Source organism: Homo sapiens, chromosome 7 (genome assembly GCF_000001405.40).
Source record: "Homo sapiens chromosome 7, GRCh38.p14 Primary Assembly".
NCBI lineage: Eukaryota > Metazoa > Chordata > Mammalia > Primates > Hominidae > Homo > Homo sapiens.
This window is the reverse complement of record NC_000007.14, coordinates 141,830,220-141,842,238: the sequence shown is the minus strand read 5'-3', so window position 1 is coordinate 141,842,238 and position 12,019 is coordinate 141,830,220. Positions and strand designations below refer to the sequence as shown.

The 12,019-nt window shown below is 39.5% G+C and overlaps 1 protein-coding gene across 6 annotated transcripts, besides 1 other annotated feature; it reads left to right on the top strand.

Annotated features, from left to right (window-relative positions):
- The first annotated feature begins 753 nt into the window (after positions 1–753).
- On the top strand, positions 754–5,961 carry PRSS37 (serine protease 37). 6 transcript variants are annotated; one of them, XM_005249947.4, is made up of 7 exons: positions 754–784; positions 1,171–1,223; positions 2,760–2,901; positions 4,126–4,379; positions 4,589–4,678; positions 4,991–5,127; positions 5,704–5,961. In XM_005249947.4, the coding sequence occupies exons 2-7, from the start codon at positions 1,190–1,192 to the stop codon at positions 5,842–5,844; spliced, it is 798 nt and encodes a 265-aa protein (XP_005250004.1). In that variant the 5' UTR covers positions 754–784; positions 1,171–1,189; the 3' UTR covers positions 5,845–5,961. The 6 variants fall into 6 exon arrangements, with proteins under 6 accessions (XP_005250004.1, NP_001357332.1, NP_001165422.1 ...); NM_001370403.1 differs by lacking the exon at positions 4,589–4,678; NM_001171951.2 differs by lacking the exon at positions 4,589–4,678 and having other exon boundaries at positions 754–1,223; positions 4,126–4,376; positions 5,704–5,939.
- Positions 4,284–4,488: a silencer, noted in NCBI's record as "fragment chr7:141537551-141537755 (GRCh37/hg19 assembly coordinates)". NCBI's record gives its function as "represses an EF-1alpha promoter that drives an FKBP-Casp9 reporter gene in an ReSE screen in K562 erythroleukemia cells {active_cell/tissue: K562}" and the evidence as "EXISTENCE:reporter gene assay evidence [ECO:0000049][PMID:32094911]".
- Positions 5,962–12,019: the final 6,058 nt, after the last annotated feature.

Below are 12,019 nucleotides of genomic sequence, written 5' to 3'. Positions count from 1 at the left end.
CGTGTCCTTGACTCACTACTTAGCCATTAAGGTTCAAGCAGTGGTCATACACCCTTAAGTATCCTGGTGGGGGACCTGCAACCCTACACCAGTGACAAGGCCTATTTCTCATTGTCCACGACATGTGACTTTGGGAAAACTACTTAGATTCTCTCTGCTTCAGTTCTGCCACCCACAGACCAGAAATAGATACCAGACCCAGCCCTATCTCTTCTTTCTAGGGTTGTTGTGACATTTGGAAAGAGATTATGGGTTTAAGAAACTTTAAAGGGTTAGAGTGATACAAAGTGTAGTGAATTTTACATCTCAGACTAACCTGATATAAAATCTCTACTGACAAGTCCGTAAAGATCTTAGCTCAGTGCCTAGGATTCAGTAAATGCTTAGAGGATATCAGCTATTAGTGTTACCGCTCATTTTCTTGTTAGACTATGCTCCCAATTATCCAAGGATGACTTTGGTAGTCTAATATTGGTCTAAGTCTTTAAGTATTAGAGGTACTGCCTTCTGAATTGTCACCAGGCCTAATGTCATCTAGACTGTAAACAATTCCCCAACTATCAAGATAACTGTTCTATGAATGCTTTTCATTTCCATATTTTCTTGGCTCAATGCTGTTGCTCAGGACAAAAAACACCAAGTTGGTGATGATGACTGAGTGATGAAACAGTGATCAGAGGGACATATGAAGCTAGTGTAACAAAGATGGGAGGGGCTGGGGAAAGTATAAGTAACTATTAGGAGGTTCAGAGCAAACCTCAGGACACTTACTCCCTGAGCTAAGGTAAAGAATATTGTCCCTCATAGCCCTGGTCTCAGAAACTCTGTGGGGAAGATAAGTCCTGAGCCTAGAGCTGCCATTTCCACAGACAACTGAACTACCTTCAAACAGATGTGTTTTTAGGGGCAGCAGATAGAAGGAGCTGAATCCAGGAGTTTCCTTCCCTGAAATGCCCCAACAGAGGCACAGTCCTCCACCTTCCCTGGAACAGAGGGCTTTCATCTGTCTCTCTGAAGCCATCTCCCTCCCCTGTTTATGCCCAGAGCTGCTTTCCAATCCCATGGAGTGCCTCCGTATCTAACCATAGCCACTGAGTCTACCAGGTGTTCCTGAGAAGACAACTAAGCCAACCGCTCCACACTCTGCTGATTTTCTTCTACATCTCACAGGGGGAAGAGCTGGATCACCATGAAATATGTCTTCTATTTGGGTGTCCTCGCTGGTATGTACTCAAGACCTTGTACTCTGTCCTGTAAGGCACAGTTTAATGGATGGGGTGAGACAGAGGCAGGATTGCGAAGGGTGCAGAAAAAGAGTCAAAAATAGTGTCATCAGCAGAATTAGGAGTCCTGCCTCTCAGACTCCATCCAAAGGCTCTCCGGATAGGCTGAGCCCACTTTTCTAGTGTTAAGCTATAGGGTGGGTTAAGGCACACATGTGCCTTGGAGAAGGCTTAACAGTGAGTGTCCTCCCACCGACACTAATGCAGAAAACAGAGAAGTAGAAACAAAAGATCAAGTACTAGGACCCTACCTTCTGTAGTCCTTGCCCCACATGGGGTTCTTCTGACAGCAGAATTTGCAGATGAGGCATTTCCCACCATTCTCTGACTGCCTAGGTTGTATCACACATTAGCTGTGTGAGATTAGCCAAGTTAATTAACTCTTCTGTGCTTCAATTTCTTCAAAATGGGGGTATGACTACCCATATTATAGAGCTATTGTGAAGATTAAATAAATCTATGTAAAGCACTTAGAACAATGCCTGCTATAGAGAGCTCAATGTCTCTTGCCCTTGTTTACAGTCTACCCTTTTCTCTTTGGGGTTTCTAACTGTGTGATCACACAGAAGGGTGTGGTGAGGTACAGACCCAGTCTTGGGGAAGGTTAACAGGAGTAGCAAGAGAAGCCAAGACAAGAAGAGGGCTTTATTTCTGATACTAGAATCAGCCTTCCTCCCCTTTATTCTCTAGGGTATGTTTTAAATAATTCATTTATAAAAACAATATATGTTCATATTACAAAATTTAGACATTTTTAAAGTAGAAAAATAAGCATCATTCATAATCCCACCTCTTAGTCAACACATGCTAACACTTTGAGTTTACTCTCAGAATCTATATATTTTTTGCATTTAAATGTTTTTATTTATTTGTTTTTAGACAAATAGATTATATCCACAATTTTCTTGTTCTTTTTAACTTAAATAAGCATTAATATTCTTTTGCTGTTTAATATTCTAATTAGTTTAATTTTTATTATATATGATGTTCCACTTTTTGATGTGCTTCAATGTCCAACATTACTATGTCAGATATTTATGTTTCCAGTGTTCAGCTGTTATAGCTAACATGAGCATACTTGTTTGTAATCCTTGTCTATATCTGATTTTTTTCTTTAGAATGGATTCTTGGGGTTGGAATGATTAGGTCACAGGTTATAAACAATTTATGATTCTTGATGCCTGTTTCTAAATTGCTTTTCAAGAAGATGGAATCAATTTACTAGCAGTGATGAGTGTCTCTCATTATACTCTCTTAGATTGAATATTATCAATATTAAACAAAATTATTATAAATATAAGATAAAATGGCATATCGTTTTAATTTACATTTTTATTAGAAAAACATGTCAAATACGTTAACACTTCTTGGCCAACTGATAACTGTTTAAGAATCATCCAGATTCCTTTTCAAGTAAGAGACTGTTACCTTATTTTTATAATATTTATGTATTAAGAATGTTCATTATTTTCTCAGGGACATTTTTCTTTGCTGACTCATCTGTTCAGAAAGAAGACCCTGCTCCCTATTTGGTGTACCTCAAGTCTCACTTCAACCCCTGTGTGGGCGTCCTCATCAAACCCAGCTGGGTGCTGGCCCCAGCTCACTGCTATTTACCGTTGAGTATTTGGGCATCCCCATCCCCAAAACAGCTACTGTTCATTCTAGATCAGTGGTTCTCATATAAGGGTAACTTCTCTACAGGGTACACTTGGCAATGTCTGAAGATATTTTTGGTTGTCACAACCAGGGGGCAGTGCTATTGGCATCTAATGGGGAGAGGCTAGAGCAAAGATGCTGTTTAACATCCTACAATTCACAGCACAGTCCCCACAATAAAGATTTGTCCAGCCCAGAACAGCAATAGTGCCACTGTTGAGGAACCCTGTGTTACATGTTATGCCTCCTCAGACTCTCATAAGTTTTTTTCTTTTTTTTTTTTTACTGGCAGTATGAATGCATTTTATCACTTAAAGATCTAGCAGGTAACTGATGATGCACTCAAATTGGGTCAATTGAGGTGAGTTTTAAGAAGGAACCAATTGCAAAGGTATGGAGACATTAAAGGGACAATATTAAGAATAGTTCCATACCACCAGGGTTTGTATTAAGAAAATGCAGTTACCACCTCTAGGCCTAAAAAGGCAAGAGGAGAAGATAATTTCAAAGGAGGCAAGGAGAGATAGAGAAAAAGCGAGACCTGTGTGAGGAGACAGCCTGATAAGGATTGTAACCCCTAGTCAAGGAGCACAGCCACTCTGTGACAAAACTGCAGGGAGGGACCTGGGAGGATAAGTACTCCAATCTCACTCTTCTTCCTCCAGTTACTTTCTGGTGCTTCCTATTGGCCAATAGAAGGAAGCCAGAGGACAAGAGAGCCCACTGATTAAATCCATATATGTCCCCTTCCAAAGGTGCAGAGCAGAATGGAATAGGACTGTTAGTGCATCAGCTAGGGAACCAAACAGGAGACACCCAGAACTAGGTTATTTATTCTCTGGTCTCCACCAAAATGGACATTGTTCAGTTAGATAGGCGAGAAAATTACATTTCCTTGACATGCATCCTCTTCCTCTCCACTACATTAAAGAACACAACATTAAAATGTAGTGAAGGGCTCCACTACTTACTATATCACCCTGAGTGAATTACTCCTATGTGCCCCCATTAATTCATGTGCTAAATGGGGATAAAAATGGAATCCACTGCATAGACTTGTTGTGAGTTAAATGACATAATCCAGAAAAAGCACTTGGTACAGTTCCTGGCACTTTGTAACATTCAGTATCTTAGCAATGATGATGATGATGATGATGATTACTTCCAACCCCTCTCCCTCCAGAAATCTGAAAGTGATGCTGGGAAATTTCAAGAGCAGAGTCAGAGACGGTACTGAACAGACAATTAACCCCATTCAGATCGTCCGCTACTGGAACTACAGTCATAGCGCCCCACAGGATGACCTCATGCTCATCAAGCTGGCTAAGCCTGCCATGCTCAATCCCAAAGTCCAGCCCCTTACCCTCGCCACCACCAATGTCAGGCCAGGCACTGTCTGTCTACTCTCAGGTTTGGACTGGAGCCAAGAAAACAGTGGTAAGTGTGCCTTCCACAGCAAATCAGGGTCATCAGTTGTCCTTTAGGAGGAACATCCATATCCTCATAGCTGTGAGGAGAGAGGAGGAAAGGAGAGTGAAAGGAGACCCAATAGAGATGCTACCTGAGTGGTCTGGCAAACAGAGACCTGCCCAGAGGAACAAAGCTCCTCCTTTCCCAGGGTGTCTAATATCCCACTGCCTCTGCAGGGCTTTGGCAGCTGGAGCCACCAGGCCATCTGACTCTGCACAGAGGCCCAGCCATTCCTGATTGGCAGAGACACAATTCACATGAACAAGGTGTGGTCCTACTTCTCATACATGCTCATTTCACATGTAAAGGACACCTCTGAGAATTGCCTCAGGTCATTTAGTTCTCCAAGACAGGCCACCAATTAAAAATATACTCTACCTTAAAGAGACGTAAAGCCTTTTTCAAAATCCTCAAGATTAGCTCATAACCACACTCTTGATGATTTCTCTCCTTTGTCGCATTCCTTATTTTCTTTAAACACACACAAAAAGATACCAGTTGAAATAGAGGCTGGTGGTCAGAAGGACTAAAATAACCACTGTCAACAGGATGTTTTATTTTATCCCCGTCTCCCTCAGGCCGACACCCTGACTTGCGGCAGAACCTGGAGGCCCCCGTGATGTCTGATCGAGAATGCCAAAAAACAGAACAAGGAAAAAGCCACAGGAATTCCTTATGTGTGAAATTTGTGAAAGTATTCAGCCGAATTTTTGGGGTAATCTTATCTCTATATTCAGCTTTCATTTACTTGCATATGCCCGGTTAACTATTGACTCTTGATGTAAAAACTATTTTAGATGTCTAAATAATTTTTTGAGAATTTGATAAGGCTGCTGCAAAGCCAGCATTGTTTCTTCAGTAATGGGATCCCCTTAAATTGTCTTTATTCATTAAAGGACATTATAAAGTACTTCCAGTTAAGCACACCATTTCCTAGGTATTCATTCTTATAACTACAAGCAAAATTGTGAAAATAGGCATTTCTTTAAAAATAAATCAGACTTTTCACAAATAGAAAATGCCTTCACCAGTTCAAAAAAATGGAGTCTGACCCATTTTACATGTGATTTCTAGAGAGACTGTCCTCTGACTTTTTCAAGGTCACACAAAGCTAATTACAGCAAAATGAGAAAAAAGGCTCAAGCATCCTGTCCCCTGATTCGGTGCTCTTTTCAAGAGTCCAGCATATGCCTGCAGACAGGGCTCACCCAAGCGGGACACTAGGGTTCCTGTGAGAAGATCTGACACTCTTACTCTCTCTCTCTCTCTCTCTCTGCATGATCTCCGGTAGGAGGTGGCCGTTGCTACTGTCATCTGCAAAGACAAGCTCCAGGGAATCGAGGTGGGGCACTTCATGGGAGGGGACGTCGGCATCTACACCAATGTTTACAAATATGTATCCTGGATTGAGAACACTGCTAAGGACAAGTGAGACCCTACTTCTCCCTCTGCATTCCACTGGCTCTGCCATGGACTATACAAGCAGATAATTTTCCCTCTATTCAAAATAAAATCTCCAAATGAAAATTTGGGAATGTAGCATACTAGTAGCCAATGTTTTCTTGTTTGTGTCTCTGTATCCTACAACGGTGTGAAGAACTAAGATCAAATTCATGAAATGAACATTTACTACACTGTCCGGGATTACATTCGTTATCTCATTTAATGCTCATAACAAACCTTTGAGGTTATCTTTTGTTCCAACTTTACACATGAGAAAATGCAGGCTAAAAGAGGTTATTTAACATTGCCCATAGCTGGTGGATATCAGAGCCTGAAATGGAACCCAAAATTGTCAGATTCTAAATTCCTTGTTATTAGCCTCAGTGTTATATGGGAGTCTACAGCATCATAAAAGATGTTGGCTCCTATTTATTTGCCTCCCTCTCTTTCCACTCAAAGGGCTTGAAGCTCTCACTTGTGGCTAAGATCTTGGGTACTGGGATAAGCTCTCTGAGGAAAAGTCATACCTCATCTCAGTGCTACATAGATTGCAGTATGTTCAGACAGAGAGTTAGTGGAAGAGTAGAAAGTAAAAAACAAAACTTCAGAACAAGGTCAACAATCATAAATCAAGTCCACAAGGGAGTTTGGCAGCTCCAGTGAAAGGTGAAGATGTCATGTAAATCCAAAGAAGATATAGGCAGTAGCAGAGCTTGAAAGGCAGAGATGGCTGAGATGAGGTGAAGGGCAGAAATTGGGCTTAGCCATAGACCATGGTCCTAAAATAGTCCTATATGCTTGAGAAATTGGTAAAGCACTACTACAGACTGAGTGTTTATGTCCCCCCAAAATTCATAAGTTGAAACCTAATCCCCAAAGTGATGGTATTTAGAGGTGGGGCCTTTGGGAGGTGATTAGTTCATGAAGGCAGAACCCTCACAAATGGGCTTCATGCCCTCATAAAAGAGAGCCCAGAGAGCTCACCTCCTGCTTTTGCCATGTGAGGTTACAGCGAGAGACAGCAGTCTATGAACCAGGAAGTGAATTTCACCTTACACCAAATCTACTGGTGCCTTGATCCTGAATTTCGCAGACTCTAGAACTGTGAGAAATAAATTTTTGTTGTTTATAAGCCTCACACAGTCTACAGTATTCTGTTATAGGTGATGGAGTAATTCCAGATATCCAAAAGACTGGGACATGTAGGACAAGGATGGGTAAAGTAACCTTCCAGCAGGTGAAGATTCAAGAAAAAACTGCACATTCTCCTTGGGTAATATTTTCTACTCTTATGGTTTAAAATATAATCTACACTTTAATGAGTTTTGTAGTAGGCAGAATAATGGCCCTGCAAAGATGTCCACACTCTAATCTCGTGAATATAATACAGTCAGATGTGATTATGGTTATGAACATCGAAATTGGAAGTTTATCCTAGATTATCTGATGAGTCCAACATCACCACATAGGCCTTAAAAGTGAAAAACGAGGCCGGGCACGGTGGCTTACGCCTGGAATCCCAGCACTTTGGGAGGCCGAGGCAGGCAGATCACGAGGTCAGAAGATTGAGACCATCCTGGCTAACATGGTGAAACCCCGTCTCTACTAAAAATACAAGAACAAAATTAGCCGGGCGTGGTGGCGAGCGCCTGTAGTCCCAGCTACTCCCGAGGCTGAGGCGGGAGAATGGCGTGAACCCGGGAGGCGGAGCTTGCAGTGAGCCGAGATCACACCACTGTACTCCAGCCTGGGCGACAGAGCGAGACTCCGTCTCAAAAAAACAAACAAACAAACAAAAAGTGCAAAAGGAAGGCAGAAGGTTTTGTTGGGGAGATGCAAAACAGAACAAGAGGCAGGAGAGATTCAAAGCATGAGAAGAAACTGACCAGCTATTGCAGGCTTTGAAAACAGAAGAAATAGAAAGGGAACCACAAGGCAAAGAATGTGAGCAGTGCCTAGAAGCTGGGACGGGCTCTCAGCTGACAACTGGCAAGGAAATGGGGATTTTAGTTCTGGAATCACAGCTGTACTGAATTCTGTAACCAATCTGAATGAGCAAGGAAATAGACTCTCTCCAGAAAGGGGCATAACTCTGTTGACACCTTGATTTTAGTCCAGTAAAATCTTTGTCAAACTTCTGACCTACAGTACTGTAAGATAATAAATTTGTGTTGCTTTAGGCTACCTGTAGTAATTTGTTATGGCAGCCATAGAAAACAAACTTTTAAATCCACATATCCAAAAATAGCTATTAGTACTTTCTATAGTGCAATGTTAAAACCTTCAATGGCTCCCAGTTTTCCTGAGAATAAATTCTAAATTCTAGGCTTAGAATTGTAAACTTAGAACTCTAAACTTAGAATGGTATCTAAGCTTCCTTGAGACTTCCCATACACTTCTTCCCATTACCAAAAAAAGGTATTTTTCAATACATAGCCTGCCACTTGGCATTGTTATCTGACCCTGTGAAATGCAAATTTGGGTACAAAAGAATGTCAGAAAGAAATAAAAGAAGAGCCCAATACCCTCCCTTTAAGTTGGTAACCTTGTCAAGACCCAAATGTAACAAAGCTAGATCCATTTAAAAAACAACACAGGCTAGGCGCAGTGGCACACACCTCCAATCCCAGCAATTTGGGAGGTGGAGGCAGGCGGATTGCTTGAGCTCAGGAGTTCGAGACCAGCCTGGATAACATGGCAAAACTCCATCTCTACAAAAAAAAAAAAAAAAAAAAGTAAAAATGGTGGTGTGTGCCTGTGGTCCCAGCTACTCAGGAGGCTGAGGTTGGAGGATCACCTGATCCCAGGAGGTCAAGGCCGCAGTGAGCCGTGATCACGCCACTCTACTCCAGCCTGGGTGACAGAGTGAGGCCCTGCCTCAAAAACAACAACAACAACCAACTTTTTTGAGCTGAAATTAAATCTTCAAGCATTGAAATCATGTCCCAGGCAATGGGAAATATTTCCTCTTTTCCCAATTGCCTATAACTTAGGCAAAGGCAAATCATACCAATTACTATTCAATTAACTCCTCTATTTTGTTTTCTTCCCCCAGTTAAGAGTGCTGTTCTTCAGGCACAGTGACCAACAACATGGGCTTCAAGGCTGAATCATCGAAAGGATACTTTGCCTGACTGTGGGGGCTACTCCCCTAAGATCTCTTGCCCTCTACTCCTCCCTCCACTCCTGGCTTCGACATCTGAGGTTATACTGCGCTCTTTTCTTCAGGGAGGTGTCAGCTGATCTTCACTGATGTTATTTCACTGATCTCAATCCTCAACCTCCCAAAGGGTTTGAGATTGTATTCCACCTTTGACAGAGAGGCAAGTTTACTCCAAAATAAAAATATGCTCTTTAAATACGGCCCAGTAAGGTCACCCAGTTCTCCTTGTTTTCTTAGAATAGTTCCTCATCTTAGAGAGAACCTTGGGGTCATATTGTCGATACATCAGAGCCTGAAATTATCATGACAAAATCTGCCTTGCTCATTTGTATGAACTTAATGGAGGTGGGGGGAAGGGGAAAATGGAGTTGGTTAATGGGTACAAAAATACAGTTAGAATGGATAAGATCTAGTATTTGATGGCATAACAGGATAGCATTACAGTTAATAACTTATTGTACATTTTAAAATAACTAAAATAGTGTAATTGGAATGTTTGCAATACAAAGAAAGGATAAATCCTTGACATGATGGATACTGCATTTACCCTGTTGTAATTATTATGCATTGTATGCCTGTATCAAAATATTTCATGTAACCATAAATATATACATCTACTATCTACCCATAAAAACTTAAAATTTAAAATGTTTTAAAAGACAATACAGGAAGATAAGCTACCATTTTTTTAATATCTACTATATATCAGGCACTGTGTTAGACATTTTGACATGCATTATATTCTTCAAAGGTAGTTATATTCCCCGCTTACTTGAGGTTTCTGAAGAAAAGGTATTTAGTAACTTGTCCAAGCCTACATAGTTAGTAAATGGCGTCTTAAGTCAGGGACTGTATGTGTTCTGAAGATGATTAAATTATACCAAATCTATATTGCAGATATTAGTTGCTAAAACTAAGCAGGATAGAAATCTATTTCCCTTGATTATATGATTTTTAGAAATATAAAAATGGCAGAGCTGGGATACTAACCTTGGTGTGACTGACTCCAAAGCCTATGCCATTTCTCTTACATCTTTCCATGGCTACATTTCTAGATATGCAAGTGTTTCCTGAATACTTTCACTTATGCCTTTCTTTAGGTAAGGTTAAATGTACCTATTTAGATAATACAAGAAGTTTGATGGTTTCTCACATGCTTTTAGTTTTTAGCCCCTAGTGAAAAATTATTTGAAGTCTGTATAGAGTGAATCTTCCATTTTCTTATTTAAATTTAAAGTTTTCCTGGAAACCACTCCATAATATTCCAGTTCTATATTGCAGAAAGTGATAGACTTAAGCTCAATGTAGGTATAAATGAGAGTGATAGCATTATGATATCAACTAGTGATTGCCAAGATCATTTCAACTTATATATTTTGGTAAATAACCTTGAATGAAGGACAAAAGCCAAAACAAAAATTTTCAAACCAAATAAGGTAATCATCATATGTTGGGTTAATAAATCTATTCTTCCTTTTCAAAGATTTTCCAGTTTGTTAATAGCCTGGACTTTATCCAATGACTAATAACAGCAGAGATAAACTTAAGTAATCTGCAGATAAATGCCTACAACATTAATCAAGGCTAAGAATAACTTATAGAACTATTAGCACATCATTTTATATTTCTAAAAATCATATAATCCAGGGAAATAGGTTTTAACCTGTGTAGTTTTAGCAACTAATATTTACAATATAGATTTAGTATAATTTAATCATCTTCAAAATACATACAGTCCCTGACTTAAGATGGTTCACCTCTGGATTTATTTTATGATGGTGAAAAAGTGATATACATTTGGTAAAAGCTGTACTTCCAGTACCAATGCAACTATTCCATTCCTCACTTTCAGTATACTGGTCAATCAACAAGATATTCAACACTTTGTTATAAAATATACCTTTGTTAAATAATTTTGCCAAATTGTAGGCTTATGTAAATGTTCTGAGCTTGTTTAAGGTAGGCTAGGCTAAGTTATGATGTTTAATAGGTTAGGTTATTAAATGTGTTTTCGACTTATGATATTTTCAACTCACAATGGGTTTATTGAACATTGGACAAGTCAAGGAACATCAATGTAGAAATTTCTATGGCTATAGATCCCAGCAGAAAATTACTGCCAAGAGTAAAAATATTTTCAATTCAAGATTATCTGTCAACTATATGTCTTGGAATTACTTCATGGACATCAATTTTAATCTAGGAATTCAGCTTGTCTAGAACTTCAGCTGGACTGATCATTAAACCCTGATACAGATTTTATAAGTTATTATAAAATCTAGCAACAAATTGAAGAAATAATCAGATAAGCTTCAAGATGAGTATCTCTCATACACCTCCTTATTAGAATATTCTAATGCATTTGAATATTAAATTTTAAATAACCGTAGATATTAATCTCTTCTGACTTAGACCCATCCTAGTCAGTGTGACATCACACTCTTGGCTAAAGTGAATTCTCTACTGAAAAAGAATAAGAGGCCAAAGGAGAAGGGCTTTTGGAAAATCGCTATACATTTGTGTAACCTTTTAAAGGTTACTAAAGATATTGGTTTAAAAGTACTTAATGTTAAATAGAAAACAATAATTATGGGGGGAGACTATAGTGGAGGTGGATTAGCCTAAGTTCTGTCAGAATTTACATTTATCTGACCCAGTGTGTGATGGTTGCTAAGGGAAGGATTTGACAGAATGTATCACGGGAACATACATGACTGAGTTAAATAATCAATTAAGACTAAGTGGAAAAATCTGAAAATGGTTTCTTCCAAAAAATGAAAGAAAGCCATTGCAGATAAAAAGGCAACTATGGAGAAAAAATATTTCTCTATTTAGAAAACAGAATTCATGCAATTTCAGGCAGCTCACCGCTAGGCTTCTAGCCATATAAATATTATCTTTTTGCTTATTTTGTTATAGAGAGGATTCAAAAACCCTTACTACTCAGAAAACATCAGAAAAAAAAATCTAGGGTCTGCCTTTGGGTTTTTGTTTCTTCATT